This window comes from Homo sapiens, chromosome 12 (assembly GCF_000001405.40).
Source record: "Homo sapiens chromosome 12, GRCh38.p14 Primary Assembly".
Taxonomy (NCBI): Eukaryota; Metazoa; Chordata; class Mammalia; order Primates; family Hominidae; genus Homo; species Homo sapiens.
Window position 1 is genome coordinate 1,726,430 of NC_000012.12, and position 26,784 is coordinate 1,753,213.

At 38.8% G+C, this 26,784-nt stretch overlaps 1 protein-coding gene across 10 annotated transcripts in view, besides 1 other annotated feature; it reads left to right on the forward strand.

Moving 5' to 3' along the window:
* ADIPOR2 (adiponectin receptor 2) overlaps positions 1-26,784 on the forward strand; it is a 97,605-nt gene that overhangs the window by 35,360 nt on the left and 35,461 nt on the right. The window contains exon 2 of one of the 10 annotated variants that reach the window (NM_001375364.1): positions 9,650-9,811. The exons of 7 other annotated variants lie outside the window; for them this stretch is intronic. The gene's annotated coding sequence lies outside the window, so the exon portion shown is untranslated. Of the gene's footprint in view, positions 1-9,649; positions 9,812-18,097; positions 18,245-26,784 lie in introns of those variants that run through there. 2 more of the 10 variants (XM_047429545.1, XM_047429546.1) reach the window with 2 other exon arrangements.
* Positions 18,492-19,085: an enhancer, noted in NCBI's record as "OCT4-NANOG hESC enhancer chr12:1854087-1854680 (GRCh37/hg19 assembly coordinates)". NCBI's record gives its function as "activates a minimal SCP1, AML or CMV promoter by ChIP-STARR-seq in naive H9 embryonic stem cells {active_cell/tissue: H9 hESC(naive)}" and the evidence as "EXISTENCE:reporter gene assay evidence [ECO:0000049][PMID:30033119]".

The window sequence follows — 26,784 nt, forward strand, 5'->3', positions numbered from 1 at the left end:
TCAGGTTATCTGCCTGTGTTGGCCTCCCAAAGTGCTGGGATTACAGGTGTGAACCACCACCCCTGGCTGAGTTGGGATTTTTTAATTTTCCATAGATTTCCCATTAGGAAGGCAACCTGGTGTGACGGTATTTGAGAGTCAAGAGATCTGGGTTCTAATCCTCATTTCATCATGTAATACTTTGTGTGTTTCAGAATTCTTCACAGTGATCCTTGCTTGTCCTCACTCCTTTGTACAGCTTTTTTTTTTAAAGGATTTTATCCACTGTTGTGCCAGTAACTATGCTAGTGTCACTTTTTATGCTAGTAATAGTTCTATTTTCAAGTTCATTCTGTTTCCTGAGTTTAAATTTGTGTTTCCTAGTGCCAACTGAACATTTCTGTCATTTCATACTCCATTTCCAAAAAGAAACTCATTATTGTTCCGCTTTGAATTTGCTTCCCTTCTTTATGATCTTTTCATCTCGGCAAATAGCATTGCTATGTACCCAGCTGCCTAAGGAAAAACCCTGAGTCGTCATCTTTCTATATTTCATTGACCCTCATTCAGTCATTCAAATATTGCTTCTCTTGAGTATATCTTGAATCTATCCTTTATGCTCTAATTTCTGAACAGAACTGACACTCTTTGTCCTGCATGTTCTACTTTCTTTGCACAGAATACCTTCTCTTTAGTTGGCAAACTCCAACTCATTGGTTAATGTCCAGCTCAAATGTTAACTCCTGTAAAACCTTCACCATTTCTTTTAGGCAGAATTAGTGATTCCTGAGTCTTTGCTCTTAGAGCTTGTAGGTCAAGTGTGTACTGTATTTCTGTTCTTTCACAGTTTTTTATTCGATTGTCTGTAGAATAGACTTTATTATTGTCAAGGGGAAGACAGCCTTAGCAAAATTTTGAAATAAGTCATTGTGTGCCTAAGCATAAATTAGTTTGTGAGAACATACTTTTTAAAGAGAAATGTAGTAGGGTGTATAGTATGTTTGAGTATCTTTTTCCAATAAGCATTGCATGTATAATCATTCACTCATTGCATGTATAATTATTATTTAAATATTCTTTATTAATTAAAGACCTCTCTGGTCTCTCCAGAAGTCTTCCATGGCTGCCCTCATCCCCACCCTCCAGAGGAATCTGAAGCCACATGTGCTCCCTGGCACCCACAGCCCCTGCCTCTCCCAGAGCAGCAGTACCTGAGCCTCAGTGGATTCCAAGAATCGAAACCCTTGGTCTGCTGCCCCTCCCTCCCAGAATGTTTCTGTCTCATTCTTACCTACTCAAGGCCCTTTCAGTAGCCCCTTGGGGTATTCTCTTCCTATGCACCAGGGCAACTTCTGAACTCACCACTTTCCTGGAAAGACCCCCAACATCTTCGGGGAGCGGTCCCCTACAGGCCTGGCTGCAGATGCCCGTGCACACAGGAACACTGTTTAAAAAAAAAAAAAAAGGATACTGGTGGGAGGGGCTTTGTAACTGAGGAGGTTTAGGAATTGAAAACTCATGTGTATTTTCTTTCTTTCCTCATTGTCACTTCCCAGCTACCCAGAGATATTGAAGGACAGCTGAGCTCCCCTACTTGCTGAAAATGCATTGATCAAATTTGTGTAGGATTTCCACATCTATTTATGGGCTCAGAACACTTTCTAGTTACTTGTTCCTTCCTATCAGCTGTTTTCTGTTTGTGTTAGATTTTTTTTTTTTCTGAGATGAAGTCTCGCTCTTGTCCCCCAGGCTGGAGTGCAGTGGCGCGATCTCAGCTCACTGCAACTTCCGCCTCCCGGTTTCAAGTGATTCTCCTGCCTCAGCCTCCCAAGCAGCTGGGATTGCAGGCACCTGCCACCACGCCCGGCTAATTTTTGTATTTTTAGTAGAGATGGGGTTTCACCATGTTGATCAGGCTGGTCTCGAACTCCTGACCTCAAATCCGCCCACCTCAGCCTTTCAAAGTGCTGGGATTACAGGCATGAACACCACACCTGGCCTCATGCAGAGCTTTAAAAAAAAATGTTAACACGGCTGGGCGCAGTGGCTCACGCCTGTGATCCCAGCACTTTGAGAGGCCGAGGTGGGTGGATCACTTGAGGTCAGGAGTTCCAGACCAGCCTGGCCAATATGGTGAAACCCCGTCTCTACTAAAGATACAAAAAATTAGCCGGGCGTGGTGGTGGGCGCCTGTAATCCCAGCTACTCCGGAGGCTGAAGCAGGAGAATTGCTTGAACCTGGGAGGCGGAGGTTACAGTGAGCCAAGATGGCGCCATTGCACTCTAGGCTGGGCGACAGGGCAAGACTCCGTCTTAAAAAAAACAAAAATAAATAAATAAATAAAAGAAAGCTCTGCATGATACAATACAGTATTCATAGAATTTTGGCCAGTGAAAATTTTCTGTGTTAGTAGAATAAAAATGAACTCTTCTGATTTACAGATATTGATAGTCTGGTCTTTCCATCTTCCATCTTGACTCTCTTTTACTGTTAAAAAATCTTAGAACAAAGTAAAGCCAGTTCCAAATACTTTTCCTAGTTCTGGACTGTTTTTTTTTTTTTTTTTTTTTTTAACAAGACAGTCATTTGTCCGAGTACAACAGAACAGTTCATTGTTAATACTTTGGTTCTGTGTGCTTTAAATCTTTTTTCCCCCTCTACCCATAATCTCCCTTTGTAAACTTTGAATGTTTTGTCAGTAGATCATCATCATAGGTAAAGATACTGCACATCAAGACTGTTGGTCTTCCCCATTCTTCCTGGAATATACTGGAAGCTGTCAGGACTGAGGTTAATTTCTCCATTCCTAGAACTATATTGTAATAAATATTGGAATACTGGCTTTTGTGTATTTTTTTGTGTTACTTAGTTTTTGGAGAAAGGAAATATTTCTAGACTTTCTTGACTTGTCATAACTTTTTATTGTTAAAGAATATAGTTTAAAAATTATTAAATATTAGGGAGCCTTCTGCTTCATTGGGACTTTAAGGAATGATAGCCATAGGAAGGGATATATCTTATATTATCATAAAGCTTTTAAAAAATAATATATTTATTACAATTTTTTAAATTTATTTTTTATTTTTAGAAACAGGGTCTTACTCTATTGCCCAGGCTGGTCTCAAACTTCTGGGCTCAAGTGATTCTCCTGCATTGACCTCCCAAAGTGTTGGGATTACAGGCATGAGCCAATGAGCTCAGCCAGTTGTTTTTTTTTTTTTTTTTTTTTTTTGAGTGTTTTTTTTTGATAACTTCTAATTATTTTCTTATCCTATCCCTAATAGTTGGCATCAGTTAATGAACTAGTTTTGATTCCCCAAAAGCCCTCTCTTAATCTCCTGTATTTTGCTTTACTTTCTATCTCTTTTGTTTATTTCTTAGAGAAATGTCATTTATGTAATCAGTTCTTATTTTGTAATACTGGGCCGTAAGAAAGCAGGGAAAAGCACAAAACTTGGCACATAGTAAATTTTGTTGCTTGAACAAATTAATGAATGAATGAACTTGCAGCATAAGAGTGCACCCTATTTAGTGGTACTGTTTAATTATTTCATGATCCTTAGCCAAGAACGAAGGCATACCGGAAGGGAACACACAACAAAAAAAGGTGAGGGAAAAGTGTTAATATATCATTTAAGTGACTGTATTACAACAATATTACATTATGTTGTCACTCCTGAACATGAGATGTGATTCTCATTTACATTTCAAGCTAATTTGGTTAGCTGGGGGAATTCTTAGGCATCTCAAGAGATAATTAGATATACCCCTTAGGACCTCACATAATTATAATCACTATTAGGGGTATTAAAGTTTTTTTTTTTTTTTAAACAAAAACTTAGGGGGAAAAGTTGTGATTGGTAAGCGTTTTTTTCTCTTAGTGTTCTCAGAATCTTAGGAGATACGTTATTTGAAACAGTTGTTCAGGCCGGGCGCGGTGGCTCACACCTGTAATCTCAGCACTTTGGGAGGCCAAGGCGAGTGGATCATGAGGTCAGGAGATCGAGACCATCCTGACTAACACGGTGAAACCTCGTCTCTACTAAAAATACAAAAAATTAGCTGGGCGCGGTGGCGGGCGCCTGTAGTCCCAGCTACACGGGAAGCTGAGGCAGGAGAATGGTGTGAACCCAGGAGGCGGAGCTTGCAGTGAGCCGAGATAGTGCTACTGCACTCCAGCCTGGGTGACAGAGCAAGACTCTGTCTCAAAAAAAAAAAACAAAAAAAACCAAACAACACTTGTTCAATCAATTCTACTTTAGTAGAAACCAGCTCTCTATATTGTTCTCTAACATTTTGTTATCTTGGCTTTTAGATGAAATCTTTAGCATCAGTTGGGCTCATTAGCACCTCTACTAAGAGAAGCAAGCACAGAATGGAAGGGAGAGCAAATCATAACTTTTTAAAAAGTTATTTCTCCTTAGTTAAAAGTTTGGAAGAGAAGCAAGTTGAAACTGTAGGCTGATTATGTAAAAGTTTAAGTTATCAGCTCTCTTATATGTAATGCAGGTTGATTATAAGTTTCTGGGCTGTTGTGACAACAAGAAAATTATGTTTATTATTAAAAACTTGTTTATACTGCATATATGTGAAGGGCATTATACTGTGACAAAGCTAACAATAAAACATACATTTTAATATTTCAGATTCCTTATTTTATTTGTTTGTTTAGAGACAGGGTCTTAATGTTGCCCAGGCTGGAGTGCAGTGATGCGATCATGGCTTACTGAAGCCTCAAACTCCTGGGCTCAAGCGATCCTCCTCCCTCACTCTCCCAAGTAGCTGGGACTACAGGCATGTGACACTGCGTGGCTGATGTTTTGTAGAGGCGGCATCTTATTATGTTGTCTAGGCTGGTCTCGAACTTTCTCCCGCTTCAGCCTCCCAAAGTTCTGGGAGCCACTGTGCTGGGCCAGATTCCTTTTTTTAAATTGTGGGAAAATACACGTAACATAAAATTTACTATATTAACCATTTTAAAGGGTGCAGTTCAGTGGCATTAGGTATATTCACAATGTTGTACAATCATCACACTACCTAGTTCCAGAACTACTTTATGATCCCAATCAGAAACTATGCGCATTATACAATAACTCCTCATTGTTCTCTTCTCCCAGTTCCTGGTAAGTTCTATTACACTTTCTGACGCTATCAGTTTGCCTGTTCTAAGTATCATATAAATGGAATCATATAGCATTTGTCTTTTTGTGTCTGGTTTATTTCACATAGCGTACATGTTATAGCATATATCAAAATTTTATTCCTTTTGGCCGGGTTCGGTGGCTCATCCCTGTAATCCCAGCCCTTTAGGAGGCCGAGCTGGGCAGATCACCTGAGGTCAGGAGTTTGAGACCAGCCTGGCCAACATGGTGAAACCCTGTCTTTACTAAAAATACAAAAATTAGCCGGGCGTGGTGGCTGGCGTGTGCTTGTAATCCCAGCTACTTGAGAGGCTGAGGCAGGAGAATCGCGGGAACCCGCGGGGCAGAGGTTGCAGTGAGCCGAGATCGTGCAGCTGCACTCTAGCCTGCATGATAGAGTGAGACTTGGTCTGAAAACAAAAACAAAAACAAAAAACACCAAGTTTATTTAAAAAAAAAAAAAGCTTAGACTTTTTTTGAGCATTTTTATGTTATAGAAAAATTGAGTGAAAACTAGAGTTCCCATATATCTACCCGCTGCTTGGTACCACCAGTTTCCCGTTACTAACATCTTGCATTAGTGTGGTACATTTGTTACAGTTTATGAACTGATGTTAATACATTTTTAATTAAATTGCATAGTTTTGCATTAGGGTTCACTCTGTGTGTTGTACATTCTGTGGGTTTTGACACATGTATGAAAGGTATCCACTATTACAGTTATCACAGAATAGTTTCACTGCCCTAAATACTCAGTGTTTCATCTACTCATCCCTAAATCCCTGCCAACCACTGATCTTTTTACTGTCTCCTTAGTTTTGTCTTTTCCAAAATGTCATATAATTGGAGTCATATAATATGTAATCTTTTCAGATTGATTTCTTTCCATTGGCAATATACACTTAAGGTTCTCCATGGCTTTTCATGGCTTCATAGCTCATTTCTTTTTATTGCTGAATAGTACACTGTTGTATGGATGTGTACCACAGTTTGTTTATTCATTGACCTATTAAAGACTATCTTGGTTACTTCCCAGTTTTGGCAGTTATGAATAAAGCTACTATAAACACTTGTATGCAAGTTTTTGTGTGCACATAGGTTTTTAACTCATTTGGGTAAATTGTATGCCTTTCTAACTTTTGTATTTATGCATACACTTTTATATAGTTGTAAAACTTAGTTTTATCTAGTTGTAATAATTTTGTTTTATGTTTTAAGATAACATAAACAATCTTCATGCTGTTTTTGAATGCTCCCTAATATTAAAATGAGAAAATGAATTTATTATGTACTTTATTTTTCTGTTACTCATTAATTGCTTCCATTTTCCCCTGCCTTAATAAATACTTTTGTGTGTGTAGTTTTTCCCTTTTGTATTGCTTTAGGATAAAATTCAAGGAGAAACAGTAAAGAGTACAATTATTGGGATCAAGGCCATTTTAGATAATTCTTGATATGCAGTAAAGTTTCACAATGGGAAACCTTGTTAGATTTACAGTGGAGGTTTGCTGCAGTTTATTTTGTGGCTTTCTAGACAAGAGTAGCACCAGTTATCTGTGTAATTTTACTTAGAAAAAAACAAAGAACTTTTCACTGGTTCTTTGAAGTGGTAGTAAGCTTCCCTACTGTTGGTTTTGTTCAAAAATCACTGTTTGCTATCTGAATCTTCTTGATTACTTCAGAACTTTATGTAATAGTTTATTGAGGTTCTTAGGTACAGGTAGCTAACACGGGCTTGACTTTATCTTACTATGGTACAATCTAAATATATATTTAGTGTTGTTAATTAAGGTTATCATTCACAGATGCTCCCTTATATATAGGTGGAGAAACTGAGGCTTCCCTTGAGACAGCATGCTCCTGGATATAACCGTGAGAGCAGTTAAACTCTTGAGACCTGCATTCTTTATTTTTCTTAATTATCAGTACAATTATTGGATCAGAGTTTCTTCTATCTTTTTTGTGAGTCATTAAATTCCATTTTTAAAAGGTATCTTTTGAATACATACATTTACAGGTTTGGAAAATATATTTCTAGTTAAACCATGTGTTCTTATTTATTTATTTATTTTTTATTCTAAGTTTTAGGGTACATGTGCACAACATGCAGGTTTGTTACATATGTGTACATGTGCCATGTTGGTGTGCTGCATCTATTAACTAATCATTTAACGTTAGGTATATCTCTTAATGCTATCCCTCCCCCCTCCCTCAACCCCACAACAGGCCCTGGTGTGTGATGTTCCCCTTCCTGTGTCCATGTGTTCTCATTGTTCAATTCCCACCTATGAGTGAGAACATGTGGTGTTTGGTTTTTTGTCCTTGGCGATAGTTTGCTGAGAATGATGATTTCCAGCTTCATCCATGTCCCTACAAAGGACATGAACACATCCTTTTTTATGGCTGCATAGTATTCCATGGTGTATATGTGCCACATTTTCTTAATTCAGTCTGTCATTGTTGGACATTTGGGTTGGTTCCAAGTCTTTGCTATTATGAATAGAGTGCCGCAATAAACATACGTTTGCGTGTGTCTTTATAGCAGCATGTTCTCTAATCCTTTGGGTATATACCCAGTAATGGGATGGCTGGGTCAAATGGTATTTCTAGTTCTAGATCCTTGAGGAATCGCCACACTGACTTCCACAATGGTTGAACTAGTTTACAGTCCCCCCAACAGTGTAAAAGTGTTCCTATTTCTCCACATTCTCTCCAGTACCTGTTGTTTCCTGACTTTTTAATGATTGCCATTCTAACTGGTGTGAGATGGTATCTCATTGTGGTTTTGATTTGCATTTCTCTGATGGCCAGTGATGATGAGCATTTTTTCATGTGTCTTTTGGCTGCATAAATGTCTTCTTTTGAGAAGTGTCTGTTCATATCCTTTGCCCACTTTTTGATGGGGTCGTTTGTTTTTTTCTTGTAAATTTGTTTGAGTTCATTGTAGATTCTGGATATTAGCCCTTTGTCAGATGAGTAGATTGCAAAAGTTTTCTCTCATTCTGTAGGTTGCCTGTTCACTCTGATGGTAGTTTCTTTTGCTGTGCAGAAGCTCTTTAGTTTAATTAGATCCCATTTGTCAATTTTGGCCATTGCTTTTGGTGTTTTAGACATGAAGTCCTTGCCCATGCCTATGTCCTGAATGGTATTACCTAGGTTTTCTTCTAGGGTTTTTAGGTTTTTAGGTGTAACATTTAAGTCTTTAATCCATCTTGAATTAATTTTTGTATAAGGTGTAAGGAAGGGATCCAGTTTCAGCTTTCTACATATGGCTAGCCAGTTTTCCCAGCACCATTTATTACATAGGGAATCCTTTCCCCATTTCTTGTTTTTGTCAGGTTTGTCAAAGATCAGATAGTTGTAGATATGCGGCACTATTTCTGAGGGCTCTGTTCTGGTCTATATCTCTGTTTTGGTACCAGTACCATGCTGTTTTGGTTACTGTAGCCTTGTAGTACAGTTTGAAGTCAGGTAGCGTGATGCCTCCAGCTTTGTTCTTTTGGCTTAGGATTGACTTGGCAATGTGGGCTCTTTTTTGCTTCCATATGAACTTTAAAGTAGTTTTTTCGAATTCTGTGAAGAAAGTCATTGGTAGCTTGATGGGGATGGCATTGAATCTATAAATTACCTTGGGCAGTACGGCCATTTTCACGATACTGATTCTTCCTACCCATGAGCATGGAATGTTCTTCCATTTGTTTGTGTCCTCTTTTACTTCATTGAGCAGCGGTTTGTAGTTCTCCTTGAAGAGGTCCTTCACGTCCCTTGTAAGTTGGATTCCTAGGTATTTTATTCTCTTTGAAGCAATTGTGAATGGGAGTTCACTCATGATTTGGCTCTCTGTTTGTCTGTTATTGGTTTATAAGAATGCTTGTGATTTTTGCACGTTGATTTTGTATCCTGAGACTTTGCTGAAGTTGCCTATCAGCTTAAGGAGATTTTGGGCTGAGACAATGGGGTTTTCTAGATATACAATCATGTCATCTGCAAACAGGGACAGTTTGACTTCTTCTTTTCCTAATTGAATACCCTTTATTTCCTTCTCCTGCCTAATTGCCCTGGCCAGAACTTCCAACACTATGTTGAATAGGAGTGGTGAGAGAGGGCATCCCTGTCTTATGCCAGTTTTCAAAGGCAATGCTTCCAGTTTTTGCCCATTCAGTATGATATTGGCTGTGGGTTTGTCATAAATAGCTCTTATTATTTTGACATACGTCCCATCAATACCTAATTTATTGAGAGTTTTAGCATGAAGCATTGTTGAATTTTGTCGAAGGCCTTTTCTGCATCTATTGAGATAATCATATGGTTTTTGTTGTTGGTTCTGTTTGTATGCTGGATTACGTTTATTGATTTGCGTATGTTGAACCAGCCTTGCATCCCAGGGATGAAGCCCACTTGATCATGGTGGATAAGCTTTTTGATGTGCTGCTGGATTCGGTTTGCCAGTATTTTATTGAGGATCTTTGCATCGATGTTCATCAGGGATATTGGTCTAAAATTCTCTTTTTTGTTTTGTCTCTGCCAGGCTTTGGTATCAGGATGATGCTGGCCTCATAAAATGAGTTAGGGAGGATTCCCTCTTTTTCTATTGATTGGAATAGTTTCAGAAGGAATGGTACCAGCTCCTCCTTGTACCTCTGGTAGAATTCGGCTGTGAATCCATCTGGTCCTGGACTTTTTTTGGTTGGTAAGCTATTAATTATTGCCTCAATTTCAGAGCCTGTTATTGGTTTATTCAGAGATTCAACTTCTTCCTGGTTTAGTCTTGGGAGGGTGTATGTGTCGAGGAATTTATCCATTTCTCCTAGATTTTCTAATTTATTTGCGTAGAGGTGTTTATAGTATTCTCTGATGGTACTTTGTATTTCTGTGGGATTGGTGGTATCACCACCCCTGTATCACAATCCCCTGTATCATTTTTTATTGTGTCTATTTGATTCTTCTCTCTTTTCTTCTTTATTAGTCTTGCTAGTGGTCTATCAATTTTGTTGATCTTTTCAGAAAACCAGCTCCTGGATTCATTAATTTTTTGAAGGGTTTTTTTGTGTCTCTATCCCCTTCAGTTCTGCTCTGATCTTAGTTATTTCTTGTTTTCTGCTAGCTTTTGAATGTGTTTGCTCTTGCTTCTCTAGTTCTTTTAATTGTGATGTTAGGGTGTCGATTTTAGATCTTTCCTGCTTTCTCTTGTGGGCATTTAGTGCTATAAATTTCCCTCTACACACTGCCTTGAATGTGTCCCAGAGAATCTGGTATGTTGTGTCTTTGTTCTCATTGGTTTCAAAAAACATCTTTATTTCTGCCTTCATTTCGTTATGTACCCAGTAGTCATTCAGGAGGAGGTTGTTCAGTTTCCATATAGTTTGTTTTTGATTCAGAAAATTTGGTCAGAATTAGTGTCTACACAATGGGCCTGTTTTCATGTCCACCAGGCATTATGGCTGAGTGAAAAGCCAGAAGGGCCCGATTTTGAACTTTTCTTCCACTTACCAGCCATGAGACTGAGCAACCTGCACAAACTGTGAGCCTTGAATTCTTCAGTTGCAGAAATGAGGTGTTGAATCCTTCAGGTTGTTATGAAGAATAAATGAGATAATGGGCACCTGACAGCATATATTTATGTTAGGAATATATAATTATTGCTGTTTGAAATTGTAGCCTGTATATATTTGCAGAGTGCCCAAATACTTGTTCCTCAGATACAGAGTTTATGTACATCTCAATGTACCTTTTATAGTTGAAGTTGTTTTGTTTTGAGAGAAGACTGAAGTTATTTGTGGGGTTTTTTGTTGTTGTTTTTTTTCTTACAGTATTGTCATGTGGAAAATACATGTTAATTATCAGGGTTTAGGTTTTCTGCTGAGTGTGTTTCAAATTAAGTCATTTCCCTCTAGAATTGGTAGTTTGTTGTCTTCATGTTATTTATAATCATTTCCAAGTTTACCAGATAGAAAAACCCTTAATGAAATTTTGGAAAAGAAGTACACCAGTGAGTTGTTTGCTAATCTTCCTGTAGTTGTCACACAGACTGACTGTTTATATATTTTTTGGAGACAGAGTCTCACTCTGTCACCCAGGCTGGAGTGCCGTGGTGTGATCTTGGCTCACTGTGACCTCTACCTCCTGGGTTCGAGCAATTCTTGTGCCCCAGCCTCACGCTTGGGTAATTTTTTGTATTTTTAGTAGAGATGGGGTTTCACCATGTTGGCCAGGCTGGTCTTGAACTCCTGACCTCAAGTGATCTGCCCATCTTGGCTTCCCAAAGTGCTAGGATTACAGGCGGAGCCACTGCGCCTGGCCCAGACTGACCCTTTACAGCATCACTCCTGTTCCTTGCATATTCATGCTTCCAATTTAAGATTTTGTCCATTACTTATTACAGTTGCCATGTATGAAGGTCCCTTTTTTTGATAATTGGTTCTTTTCTCTTCTACATACTAAGGCAGGGGTGGGAATAAATGTCACAGCATTACCACTACTTGATTTGATTTTAATGTGTTACTCTCTTGTACTCCTACCTTATTAGTTTTAGTAGTTTATGGCTGGGTGTGGTAGCTCTTGCCTGTAGTCCCAGTACTTTGGGAGGCTGAGATGGATGGATTGCTTGAGCCCAGGAGTTTGAGACCGGCCTGGGCAACATGAAGAAACCCTGTCTCTACAAAAAAAAAAAAAAAAAAAAAGTTAACCAGGCATGGTGGTATGTGCCTGTGGTCCCAGCTACCCGGGAAACTGAGGTGGGAGGATCACTTGAATCTGGGAAATTGAGGCTGCAGTATGAGCTGTGATTGCACTACTGTGCCCAGCTTGGGTGACAGAGTGAGACCTTGTCTCAAAAAAAATTTTTAGTAGTTTCTGTGTTTTGTTTGTAAATTTAACTCTGTATTGAGCCAGAAAAGCACAAGCCCTGTAATTTCTCATTTTAGAGAAAAACATTCATTTTTTTCCTTCCCCAAGGAGTTTCTCCTTCTTCCTATTTTTTTCTTTAAAGAGAGTTTGGCAGAATTCCAGAGCCTAAAATAATAAAATAAAGGTAATTAAATGAATTCTCCAGCCAGCAGAGACCATCTTATCTTGAATTGCTAGTGGTTTATGCTGGTCCCCCTTTGACCTTCTTTCACTTTTTGGAGGTGGATGAACTTTTCCACTCAAAACTATCTTGTCAGCCTCACACATATTTATTAAAGGAGTGAGTATGCTTAAGAGACAGATTTTTTGTGTTGGTTGAAGAAACCATTTTGGATATTTTTCTCTGTTGTGACTGGGACTGAATTTTTAGATTGATTTATATTTCCTTTGAAGAACAAAGGAATATTTTTCTCGAAAATGAGAATTAACAGGAGCATTAATAACAACAAAAAGTCTGTTAAACGTATTTGGGGAGATTATTTGTTTTCAAAGAATAACATTTCTTGTGTGAGTCATTATATTCAGCAAAATTTCTTTTGTGATAATTTTATGCTGCCATAAAATTTTTTGGGAAAATAACTTTAAAAAAACTTCAAAAAATTTTATTTTAGAGGGGCAGTAGTACAGTTGGAAGAGGAATTTTAAGTCAAAGAACAGTAAAACATGAATTCTTTCAGAAGACAGTTGAAAATTTACTGTGCATCAGGAACATTACTTAGCTCTGAACATAAAAAATGATGAAGGTACTGCTCTCTGCCTTTATGTCTTTGCGTGTAGTCTAATGGGAGACACAAGTAAATAAGAAACAATGGGTCAAGGTCATTATAGTAGTAGTTACACAGGTAGGTGCATATGCTTCTAGTCTAGCCAGTGGGATGCTGTGTAAATTGTAGCTATGTGGAGAAGCCTTGAGATTTCCCTCTCTGAAAGTAAAATTATTGCCTTAGGGCAGGGTTAGCAAACTATAGCTAGCCCCTGGGTATCTACCTGTTTTTGTATGGCTCATGAGCAAAGATTGGTGTTTACATTTAAAAATAGTTTAAACAAAATAATGTTTTGTGATAGATGAATGAAAATTATATGAAATGGAAATCTCAGTGTTAATAAAGTTTTATTGGAACACAGCCACATTAATTCATTTACATATTGTCTGACTACTTTTGTGCTGCACTAGCTGAGTTGAGTTTTTTGTAGGAGAGACCTTTTGTGGCCCACGAAACCTAAAATATTTATAATCTGGCCTTTTATTATAGAAAAAGTTTGTTGAGCCTTCTTTAGAGTGTTATGAGCACTGACTTTTTATGACCTCAATCACACATGCAGTTTCCTTAAATTCCTTATTATATGTTTAAAAGTTAAATTAGCTGGGCGCAGTGGCTCACGCCAGTAATCCCAGCACTTTGGGAGGCTGAGGTGGGTAGATCACCTGTGGTCAGGAGTTCGAGACCAGCCTGGCCAACATGGTGAAACCCCGTCTCTACTAAAAATACAAAAAATTAACCGGGCGTGGTGGCACATGCCTGTAATCCTAGCTACTCAGAAGGCTGAGGCAGGAGAATTGCTTGAACCCGGGAGGCAGAGGTTGCAGTGAACTGAGATTGCATCGTTGTACTCCAGCCTGGGCGACAAGAGCGAGGCTCCATCTCAAAAAAAAAAAGAAGTTAAATTTTAAGTGGCTGTATAAAGGATTATGATGATGCCTACCTTGAATGGTAAACTTTTAGATGTAACTTTTCAGTTATTTCTGCTGAAAAATGCTAAAGTGATGTGCTATTCTATTGAAAGCCAAGTGTATTGATTTGCTAGGCCTGCCATAAAGTACTGCAGACTGGGTGGCTTAAATGACAGAAATGTATTTTCTCACAGTTCTGGAGGCTAGAGTTTCAAGATCAACATGTCAGCAGGTTTGGTTTCTCCTATCACCCCTCTCCTTGGCTTGCAATTGTTGCCTTCTCTCTGTCCTCACAGGGCCTTTCCTCTGGGCATGTATTCCTCCCTGGTGTCTCTTCTTACAAGGACATCAGTCATAGTGGATTAGGCCCCCCCACCTTGTAACTTCATTTAACCTTGATTACCTCTCTAAAGCCTCTATTTCCAAATACAGTCTCATTGTAAAGTACTGGGGGTTAGGACTTAACATATGAATTTTGAGAGGCTACAATCAGTGCACACCGCCAGGGAATTTCTGATAGAAACTTCATTTGTTTACACATTAAGCAGATCTTGAGGGTGTGTACTGTGTGACAGATCCTGTTTTACGTATGTATGTGTGTGTACTATGTGACAGATCCTGTTTTAGATACATATGGTGAACGAGACAAACAAGATTTGACACTTAAGAGGCTGGTGGTTTAGTTGAGAAAGACAGATAATTAATAGGAAAATAAATATTTGAGAGAGTGATAAGGACTGTGAAGGAAATTAAACTGTGTCAAGTGTTAGAATGATTAGTGTGACGGGTCGTCAGGTAGGGGCTTCCTGAAAAGGTGACCTTTTACCTGGGAGCTTAAATGGTAAGGGATAGCTAGCTAGTTAAGTTCCCAGGCATGTTTCTAGGGCCTGATGTTGATCAAGATTGGTATGGAAAAGGTTCAAAAGAATAGTGAGTCAATTAGGGAGCTTTATAAGTTGAGGTTGGAGAGGTTGGTGGGGCAAAATCATTAAGGGCCTTGTGGGAATTATGGTAAAGATTTGGCTTCCTTTTGCACAAGGAATAAAATCTGGAGGGATTTTAGCAGGGGAGTGACATGATTTTTCTGTTCGAAAGAGCACTTTGGCTGCTAAATAAAGAGAGGAAACTGCAGGTATGAGAGTAGAGGATAGGGAGGCCTGTTAGGGGATTATCAAAGTATTGTAGGTCAGAGATATTGGTGGTTTAGCTAAGATCATGGCAGGGAAGAGAAAAAGAAAGGGAAATAATTTGAGAGATATTTTGGGAGATAAAATCCATGTATTATTTACTAATGGATTAAGTATGGGGGCTTAGGAAGAGGGAGGAATATCTTTGGCAATAGTGTTGTGTAATACTGTCCACTGTAGCAAGTGAACCTATAGTGTTAGCAAATCAGATAGATGATTGCTGCAGCAGCAAGTTACAGAATATAATTTGGAAAGGAAAAAAGCCTTCAATCATTAAATAGGAAAACAGAAGGCAGGTAAACAATGCTATGGTTTAATTATGTTCAACTTACAGGCTTATAACTACTAGACAACCAATGGGGAATTCATAGTTTGCCATAGAGAATGCCTTTGGGACACATAACCTGTTTGGAATGAAAAAGCCCTGGAGAGTATTGTAAAATAACAAATGTCAGGTTTGATGGAATGACTATGCATGCAATTAAGTGATTTTCTTTAGTGCTAGAGTTCTTTTTTCTTAGGTAAATCATTTTAAAAAATGGACCAGACTTTGTGAAAGTAGATATGTTACATAAAATAATGTTAGCTAAAGATGAATGGAATAGGTTAAGAGTGTCTTCTTGAAAATTTGAACTATATCTCTTTCAAAAAGAATTTTATTACCTCTAGGCTGGACTTGACTGAAAAGTTAAAAAAAAAAAAAGACAAAATCTTATGATTGTTGAACTCCCAATGAGGAGTCAGAGAATTGTGAGAGCCAGGGTCTGTTTTTTGTCACTTTTCTCTCTCTCTTTTTTTAAGATAGCATCTTGCTATCTGCAGGCTGAAGTGCAGTGGTGCGATCACAGCTGCTTGCAGCTTTGAACTCTTAAGCTCAAGCGATCCTCCCACCTCAGTGTCCTGAGTAGTTGGGACTGCAGGTGCACACCACCACGCCTGGCTTATTTTTGCATTTTTTGTAGAGACGGAGTCTTGCCGTGTTGCCCAGGCTGGTCTTGAACTCCTGGGCTCAAGCCATCTGCCCACCTGGGCCTCCCAAAGTGCTGGGATTACAGGCGTGAGCCACTGTGCCCAGCTGCCACTTTTTTCTATGTTTAGAAATCTACCTCTGAGCCTTATTCCCCATCCATAAGGCAGGTAACCACTAGATGGCTAATTTTGAAAGAGCGAGAGCATTCAGAGATGCACAGTAATTCTAAGTTCTGAGTAGAATACAGTCATCCTTTGGTATCCATGGGGGATTGGTTCCAGGACCTCCCATGGATACCAAAATCTGTGGATGCTCAAGTTCCTGATAGAGAATGGCATAGCGTTTGCATATAACCTAAGCACATCTTCCTGTATATTGTAAATCATGTCTAGATTACTTGTAGTACCAAATACAATGTAAATGCCCTGTAAATAGTTACTATACTGTATTGTTTAGGGAAAAAAGTCTACATGTTCAGAATAGATGTAATTTTAAAAATCTGGATAATTTCCATCTGTTGTTGGTTGAATCCACAGATGCAGAACCCCATTGATATAGAGGGCTGACTGAATACAAAAGCAAGGCAAGTGTGATAGCAGCCTTCTTTTACTTTAGGATTCAGGATTTACTTCTTTACTTCAGGATCAAATATTTTTACTTTTCGATTTTATTTTTTTGTTTGTGAAGAGTTGGGAGTTGCTGGGTTTAGTTATGCTACTCTCTTTTTAAGGGAGAATATAGCAGTCCTAGAGGGATTTGCAAACTATAGCTCTTGGGGAAACATTCAAAATTTTCCTTGTGTAAGAAATTTTATGAGTCTCGAGGGCCGGATGTGGTTGCTCATGCCTGTAGTCCCAGCATTTTGAGAGGCCAAGGCTGGAGGATCTCTTGAGGTCAGGGGTTTGAGACTGGCCTGGCCAGCATGGTGAAACCCCATCTCTACCAAAAAAAAAAAAAAAAACAAAGCAGTGAGCCAAGATTGTGCCACTGCACTCCAGCCTGGGTAACAGAGCGAGACGCTGTCTAAAAAAAAAAAAAAAAAAAGAAATTCTATGAGTCTTAAATTACATCAAGTAACTTTGGAGGCAATAGTTTAAATTCTCTAAAATACTGGGCACATTAGCTCATGCCTGTAAGCACTTTGGGAGGCTGAGATGGGAGGATCACTTGAGGCCAGTAGTTCAAAACCAGCCTGGGCAACAGAGTGAGACTCCAGTGCTACAAAAAATTAAAAATTAGCTGGGTGTGGTGGGCACACGCCTGTAGTCTAAGCTTCTCTGGATGGAGGCTGAGGCGGGAGGATTGCTTGGGCACAGAAATTCAAGGTTACAGTGAGCTGTGATTGTGCCACTGCACTCCAGAGTGAGACCCTATCTCTAAAAATATTAAATTAAAAAAAACCCATACAACTCAAATTTCCAGGTACTGTTATTAATATGAGTTATCTTGAACTGTTGAAAAATTAATCACTTATTGTTGATTTCTATCTGCATATTAAAGATCTGGCTTAAGAGTCTTGCATTTGATGAATAGGCTTTTCTATGTTATATACAAGAAAAAGGAGATAAAATAATTTAACTTTTTTATTACATTAAAAAACAGGACTCTGGGAATTGTCACTTTATGATCAGCCTTATATTTTTTCCAGACTGTGTCATTGTGTATGCCTGTGCCACCCAACGGATGAGACCACTGATCATGTTTAGCTCAAATTTATGTTGGATAGAGGTTATAGGATGGTCCTTATCTGAATGCAGAAAGGAATGTTTATTTTGCTGTTATGTTTTATATGGGATAAAATGCTTGAAAAGTCTTTTTTTTTTCTGTATTTTTTTTTTTGAGACGGAGTCTTGCTGTGTCGCCCAGGCTGGAGTGCAGTGGTACGATCTTAGCTCACTGCAAGCTCTGCCTCCCAGGTTCATGCCATTCTCCTGTCAGCCTCCCGAGTAGCTGGGACTACAGGCAGCCGCCACCACACCTGGCTGATTTTTTGTATTTTTAGTAGAGACAGGGTTTCACCACGTTAGCCAGAATGGTCTTGATCTCCTGACATTGTGATCTGCCCGTCTCGGCCTCCCAAAGTGCTGGGATTGCAGGTGTGAGCCACCACGTCCAGCTTTTTTTGTTGTTGTTGTTTTCTGAGACAGAGTCTTTGGCTCTGTCACCCTGGCTGGTTAGTAGTTGGAACTATAGGCGCGTACCGCCATGACCGGCTAATTTTTGTATTTTTTTGTAGAGATGGGGTTTCACCATGTTGACCAGGCTGATCTTGAACTCCTGACCTCAAGTGATCCACCTGCCTTGGCCTCCCAAAGTGCTGGGATTACAGGTGTGAGCCACCACATCTGACCTACTTGAAAATTCTTAAATGGTGCCTTATACTTTCTGGTAATAAAAGCACTATTTTAATGTTCGGAACTATTTTCATTATTTGCTAACCTTACAATTAAAAAATCCTTTTATATTTATCTTTGGATAGATATGAGGGGACCTCAAAAAGTTTGTGGAAAAATGGAATTAAAAGATAAAAATACAAAATATAAACTTTATTCTCAATATAAGCTCTATCGAGTTCAAGAAAATTTTGTAAGCAATAATGCTAGCCATTTAGTCCACTCCTAAAGAAGTCCTGTAACCATATCAGTATGTGCAGTCTTTTTTTTGCATTATTAATTAAAGAAAAATGGGTGCCCTTTAAATTTTTTTTTAAGGTTCGGAAACAAAAAGAAGTCAGAAGGAGCCAATCAGCACTGTTTGGTGGATGCCCAGTGATTTCCCATTGAAACCCTAGCAAAACTGCCCATTTGAGAGGAATGAGCAGGAACCTTGTGGTGGTGAAAGTCAACAAGATTCCTTGAGCATTCCAAAAAGCTTTTGTCATGACCTTCGCTCTTGATGGGTTTGCTTTTGCTCTAACTGGATCACTTTCATCTCTTGGTACCCATTGCTTTGTTTTTTTCTTTGTCTTCAGGATCACACTGGTAAAGTCATGTTTCATCTCCTGTTAAAATTTTTCAAAGAAATTCCACATGCTCTTGTTGCCACTTGTTTAAAATTTGCATTGAAGGCACTGCTTTTGTCTGTGGCCGATCTGAGCACAATGGTTTTAGTACCCATCAAGCAGAAAGTTTGTTCAACTTAAATTTTTTTGTTAGATTTGTATACGCTGAATGAATTTATATGTCTATGGTATTGGCTGTTGTTTGTGCTGTTAATCATTGGATCTCTACATTTAGGTTACAAACGGGATGAATTTTTTCCTAAAAAATTTATGTTGATAGTCTGCTACTGCAGGCTTCATCTTCAATATCATCTTGTCCCTTCTTACAATGAATTATCCTATTTATAAACTGCTGATTTCTTAGGGGCATTGTTTCTATAAAGTTTTCGTAAAGCACCAGTGATTTTACCATTCTTCCACTCAAACTTCACCATAAATTTGATGTTTTGTTCTTGCTTCAATTTTAGCAGAATTCATGTTGCTCTGTTAGGGTGCTTTTCAAACCAATGTCTTATCCTTCTTAGTGCCTCAAACTACATCTTGTTCAGATGTGTTATAACAAGTTAGTACCAGCTTATTTTGGTGCAAAATTTTATTGAAATTCATGCATAGTGTTTTCATAAAACATATGTTACACGAACTTTTTGAAGATCCCTTGTACCTGTAGTCCAAAATTCAGAAGTTACTAAAGAATGTAAAATAAAAATAAGTCTTCTTCCTATGCTTGTTTTCACTTACCCAGTTTCCTTCCTCATCTTCCTGATGGATTAAAAAAAAAATGACATGATCTAAAAAATATGATCTATTTTAGGTCTAAGGACATGTATAGGTTGAAAGTGAAAGGACTGAAAGAGTTATCACATGCAAATAGTAACTAAAAGAGAGCTGGGACAGTTTGCTAATATCAGACAAGATAGATTTTTAGTTAAAAACTCTTATAAACACTTAAGAGGCTGGGTGTGGTGGCTCATGCCTGTAATCCCAGCACTTTGAGAGGCTGAGGTGTGTGGATCACTTGAGGTAAAACTTCATCTTTACTAAAAATACAAAGATTAGCCGGGCATGGTGGTGTGTGCCTGTAATCCCAGCTACTCAGGAAGCTGAGGCAGAAGAATTGCTTGAACCAGGGAGACGGAGGTTGCAGTGAGCCGAGATCAAGCCATTGCACTCCACCCTGGGCGACAGAACAAGACTGCCTCAAAAACAAAAAACAAAAAACAAAAAAAACCCTCTTATAAGAGACAAGGAAGAGCATTAAATAGAAGAGTCGATACACCAAGAAGATATAACAATTATAAACATGTATGTACTGAACATCAGAGCTCCAAATAACCTGAAGCAAATATTGACCTCATTGAGCAACAGACAGATCTAAAATAATAACTGGAGACTTTAATATGCCACTTTCAATAATGGGTAGAACAACTAGACAGATCTAGTCTAGTTAGAAGTAGAGTGGAATTATAGGCATGGTGGCTCACGCCTATAATCCTAACATTTTACGAGACTGAAGTGGGAGGATTGCTGGAGCTCAGGAGTTTGAGACCAGCTTGGATAAATAGTGAGACCTTGTCTCTACTAAAAATTAAAAAATTAGCTGGGCATGTTATTGCACCCCTGTTGTCCCAGCTACTTGGAAGGCTGAGGTGGGAAGAGGAAGATTGTTTGAACCCAGGAGTTTGAGGTTGCAATGAACTGTGATCATGTCCTTGCACTCTAGTCTGGGCAACAGAGTAAGACCTTGTCTCCCCCACTAACTCCACTGCCCCCCCCCAAAAAATAAAAAAAACAAAACAAAACAAAGAAATAAAAGACTTTAACACCGCTGTAAACCAGTTGGGCCTAATAGGCATGTATACTCCACTCAGTAGCTATTTTTCTCAAGTGCACATAGAACATTCTTCAGGATAGACCATATACTATGCCATAAAATTAGTCTTAATAAATTTAAAAAGATTGAAATTACACAAAGTGCCTTTTCTAATCACAATGGAATGAAAGTGGAAATATGAGAATGAGAACTGGAAAATTCACAAATATGTGGAAATTAACACACTTAACCATTGGGTCAAAAATCACAAGGTAAATTAGAAAATATCGAGACAAAAACACAGCATACCAAAACTTAGGGGTTGCAATATATATATCACTTCATACAATTGGCTTTTCAAAATCAGTTAAGACAAAAGGTAAACATTTATATAATTACAGGTACTCTTTCTTTTTTGTTGGGCGGTGGTGGGTGGTACGTGGATTTGAATTGCTGTTTGAGGTCACTTGCTTCCAGGCTTTTGCATTTCTTTTAAGGGGGATCTTCCAGGAACAAAATCTGTTTTATTGCTTTTTAAAATCTGAGAAGGTCTGTTTCGCCTTCAGTTTTGAAATGTAGTTTTGCTAGATATAAGATTGGTTGACAGGTTTTTTTTTTCTTTTATTTGAACACTTTGATTATGTTATCTCATTGTTTTCTGTCTGCCATTGTTTCTGCTTAGAAGTCAGCTGCTAATCTTACTGGGTTCCATTTTAAAATAATGAGTCGTTTGGTTCTTGCTGCTTTTAAGATTTTCTCCTTGACTTTGACTTTCAACATTTTTACTGTGAGGCATCTGTCTGGATGTCCTTGCCTTTCTCTGAGTTAAAATACATTGAGTTTCCTGGATGTGTGGTTTATTGTCTTCAGTACATTTGTGGAGTTTTCAGCCATTATTTCTTTGAATTTTTTTTCCCCTCTACCACTTTTTCTCCTCTCCTTTTAGAGTACCAAACTGTGCCTATTGGTGTCCCACATAGCTCTAAGATTTTCCAATTTACTGTTGAGCCCCCCCACCCTTTATTTTTAAATTTCCATTATTGTAATTTTCAGCTTCATAATTTTTATTTGGTTCTTTTTTGTAGTTTACATCTCTTCATTGATCTCTATCTGAGGTGATATTGTCATTATGCTTTCCTTTACTTTTATTATTTATTTATTCTTTTTTTAGAGACGGAGTCTCTCTCTGTCGCCCAGGCTGGAGTGCAGTGGCGCGATCTCGGCTCACTGCAAACTCCGCCTCCCGGGTTCACGCCATTCTCCTGCCTCAGCCTCCCGAGTAGCTGGAACTACAGGTGCCCGCCACCACGCCTGGCTAATTTTTTATATTTTTATTAGAGATGGGGTTTCACCGTGTTAGCCAGGATGGTCTCAATCTCCTGACCTTGTGATCTGCCCACCTCGGCCTCCCAAAGTGCTGGGATTACAGGCGTGAGCCACCGTGCCTGGCCTGCGTTTTACATTTAAGTCTATGATCCATTTTGAGTTAATTTTTGTATGAAGTGTGACCTAAATTTACAGGTTGAAGTTTTTTTTTTAAGTTTTTTGTCTATGGATGTTCAATTATTTCAGCACCATTTATTGAAAAGGTTATCCTTCCATTATTGAATTGCTTTGGATATTTGTAAACGTGTTTAGGGAAAAACTCTCCTCAAACTGTGTTTTTCCTCTACTGTCATACCACAGCAATAATCAACACAGAAGAAGACTTCTGTGATCACACACATGGGGTTGTTTTCCCCACACACCAAGCAGCAGACAGCAGCCTGAGTGTCCTCTAATTCAGTTCGACACTATCTCCGGGTCATTGGTGTCAGATCCCACAGGTTGAGGGCTCCGTACCTAAGACTACTCCCCTAACACACACACCAGTCATAAGTCGGGGCCTCCAGAACTTCTGACCAACCAGCTTCAAGTTGGGGCTCCCATGGCCCCCTCTTTGGGTTCATTAATTTGCTGGACTGGCGCACAGAACTCAGGGAAACACTTATTTACGCTTACTAGTTTATTATAAAGAATATTGCAAAGGTTACAGATGAAGGGACGTGCAGGGCTACGTATGGGGGAAGGGGTGTGAAACTTTCATGTCCTCCCTGGATGCTCCACCCACCAGGAACCTCTGTGTGTTCAGCTGTCTTGAAGTTCACTGAACCCTGTCCTCTTGGGTTTTTATGGAAGCTTCATGACATCAACATTCCTACCCCAAGGGCATAGATGGGACCCTACATGAGAGAGTCTTAAGACCCGCAATCAAAAAGTCAGGGGAACATTAAGTGTGGAAAGCAGGCAGGAGAAAGAGGCCTGCCTCTGAGGCCTAACACTTCCAACATTATAATGAAAGACTGGAATAAAGGCTATGGGAGTTAAGGCCAGGAACCATGGAAGAAGACCAATAGATATCATAGCACCACAATAAAATAACAGGCATACTTGTGTGGGTCATTTCTGGGTTCTCTGTTCTGTTCTGTTACTCTATGTGTGTATTCTTTTGCTCATACCAACACAGTCTTGACTAGCTATGTAGTTGGCCTTCAGTGAGGTCTTTTTCGATTGTTTTAGCTATTTTGGAGCTTTGCCTTCCATGTAAGTTTTATAATGAGTTTTTATCTACAGAAATCCTTGCTGGGATCTTGATAGGAATTGTATTAACCTATAGAACAATTTGGACAGAATTGACATCTTTACTGAGTCAGTATATTGCTGAGAACATAGTATAACATATTGCTATTTGTTTAGTTTTTTTTTTTTTTTTTTTTGAGAAATGGGGTCTCATGCTGTTGTCCAGGCTGGAGTGCAGTGGTGTCATCATAGTTCACTGCAGCCTCAAACTCCTGGACTCAAGCAGTTCTCTCACCACATTCTCTTCAGTACCTAGACTACACAGGTGCATGCCACTAAACTCAGCTAACTTTTAATTTTTTTTTAGTGACATGGTCTTGTTGCCCAGGCTGGTCTCAAACTCCTGGTCTTGAAGTGATCCTCTTGCCTCAGTCTCTTGTATTTGTTTAGATTTCTGATTTATTTCATCAGCATTTTGGAATTTTTAGCATATAGGGCCTATACGTATTTTGCTAAGCGTATACTTAAAGTATTTAATTTTCTATGGAGCAGTTGTAAATGGTATTGTTAAAAATTTCAGTTTCTGCGTGTTTATTGTTAATATATAGAAAAGTAAATGATGGCTGGGCACAGTGGCTTATACCTTTAATCCCAGCACTTTGGGAGGCCAACGTGAGAGGATCACTTGAGTTCAGGAGTTCAAGACCAGCCTGGGCAACATAGCGAGACTCCATCACTACAAGAAATTAAAAAAAAAAAAAAAAGGCCAGGTATGGTGGTGTGCACCTGTAATCCTAGGTACTTGGCAGGTGGAGGGCAGGAGGATCCGTTGAGCCCAGGAGTTCAAGGTTACAGTGAGGTATGATTGCACCATTGCACTCCAGCCTGGGCAACAGAGTGAGACCCTGTGTCTCTAGAAAGAAAAGAGAAGTGATTGATATTTGAGTGTTGATCTTGAATTCTTCCTGAACTCATTATTTCTAGAATTTTTTTTTGTAGATCCTCAGTAACATTTTAAGATTTGTTTTGAAGTGTTTTATCTTTTTTCTATTGTGATGTATTCTTATTTCATAATGACCAAATATTGTGGGGTTTTAGGATGAAGGCTGTTGAAATCCATATATCAATTTTATGCCCCATCACATTGATGATTTTTCTTATTTATAATTTTTTCTTTAGTTGATTCTCCTGGATTTTATAGATAAAAGAGTCATATAATCTGCAAATAGTTACAGTTTACCTTTTTTTCCCCCAATTTTTATACTCATTTTTTTCCCTCATTTAATTATCTAAGACTTCCAAGATAGAGTTAAATAATGCTGGTAATACCATTTTCTGGCTTTAGACTCTTAGACTTGTTTGCTTTTTTTTTTTTTCTTCAAGGCATTGCATGCTAGTAGGAGTTCATTTTATTTCAGTAGGTAGAATGCAAATAGAGTAAAACATATAGTAAATTTCAGTTCTCTAGTGTGTTCTAGTATTGGGGTGTTCTGTTTTGTTAAATTTATGGGAACCTGAAGGTTGACATAAATACTTTTACTTCAACAGTTCTACTGTTGAAAGTCAATATTATAGGCCTTCCTGCTTTCTGTAGAGTGGCCAATATTTGATTTCTTTGTAGATTTTGCAGCACTTTATTTTCTTCATTCTTATTTTATCATACTTGTCAATTTAGAAAACAGTATTGATAGGAATGTATATTGATCTCAGGACTTTACTGGAGAGTTGATTTTCTTCTTTTTATTTTAAGGAGGATCCTTAAAAATTATTGGGGAACTCTTATTTGTTGTCATTTGATTTCTTCTTCTGAGATGAGGATTACAAAACAATTCTAACTAATGGAGCTTTTCAGTTTTTCTTTTTTATTACGAGATGGGGTCTTTGCTTTGTTACTCAGGCTGGAGTGTAGTAATGCCATCAGAGCTCAGTGCAACCTCGAACTCCTGGGCTTAAGTGATCCTCCCACTTCAGCCTCTTGAGTAGCTAGTACTACAGCCATGAGCCACGTGCCACCACACCCGGCTAATTAAAAAAATTTTTTTTTTTGTAGAGGTGGGTCTCACTTTGTTGCCCAAGCTGGTTTCGAACTGCTGGGCTCAAGTGATCCTCCTGCCACAGCTATCCAAAGTGCTGGGATTACAGGTGTGAGCCACTGTGCCCGCCTGAGCGTGCGTTTATAGTCTCATAAATGAGCAACATTCCTCCATATATAGCTCCTGCTGATGAAAAGTTTGGTGTGCTGATATTTTTCTTTTCTTTTCTTTCTTTCTTTTTTTTTTTTGAGATGGAGTTGCCAGGCTGGAGTGCAGTGGCATGATCTCGGCTCACTGCAGCCTCTGCCTCCCGGGTTCGAGCAATTCTCCTGCCTCAGCCTCCTAAGTAGCTGGGATTACAGGCATGCGCCACCACACCCAGCTAATTTTTTGTATTTTTAGTAGAGACTAATTTTTTGTATTTTTAGTAGAGGGTTTCACCATGTTGGCCAGGATGGTCTAGATCTTCTGACCTTGTGATCTGCCCGTCTCGGCCCCCCAAAGTGCTGGGATTACAGGCGTGAGCCACTGCTCCTGGCCTCTTTTTTTTTTTTTTTTTTTTTAAGATAATGTCTCACTCTGTTGCCCAGGCTGGAGTGCAGTGGCGTGATCTTGGCTCACTGCAAACTCCCCCTCCCAGGCTCAAGTAATCCTCTCACCTTGGCCTCCCTAAGTGCTGGGATTACAGGCATGAGCCACTGTGCCTAGCCTAGTGTGGTGATATTTCAAGAACACTTTACAAAGCTTTATTCTACTTGCTACAGCTTCAGCATCAAGATCCTGACTCTGTAGTTTTCTTGTGATATAAACCAACTACATTTAGGGTTCATTTTCTTATCTTTTACTCACCCCAGTCTTAATTTTGTTGCACAGTGGAAAGCACATGAACTTCATGAGGTTCAGAAACTGGGTATAACACAGCTGCTTCTCTTTGAATCCTAATGACCTTGAATAAGTTATCCAAACTCTAATCCTCAAAATGGAGGATAATAATACCTCAGAAGGCTATATTTAAAGATGCTGTGAAGTACCACATGTAAATTATCTGGTACAGAATTTACCTTTGTTGATTCTCAGTAAATGTTTGCTGCCTCTCCCCTGAAACAAAATGAAATGGTGTGTGTGAATAGCTTTGTGAGCTTTAAATAATATAATTAAATAGAAGCCATTATTCTGTTTCCTCTTTCAGAAATGGGCATTAATAACATAATTTATAATCTCAATAGTATCATGTGCTTGGCCCAGGTACATGCCCAGGTTTGGTATTCTTTAGATTTTTGTTTCTTCTTGCCCTACATACTTCGAAAGCCCTTGGAGAAATCCTACAGCAAATTCACATGATTTATGAAACCAACAGTTGACTAATTCTTACTCTGTTTCTTTGACTAATTCTTAGTCTATGTATCCACATATATGAAACTAAATCCACCTGTTACCTTCTTTTTATGGTATCTGGGTTCTCCTACTTTGCCCTACTCCTTTCCCCACTAAGAACCTTGAACCTCATGGAATTTATTAGCTAGCA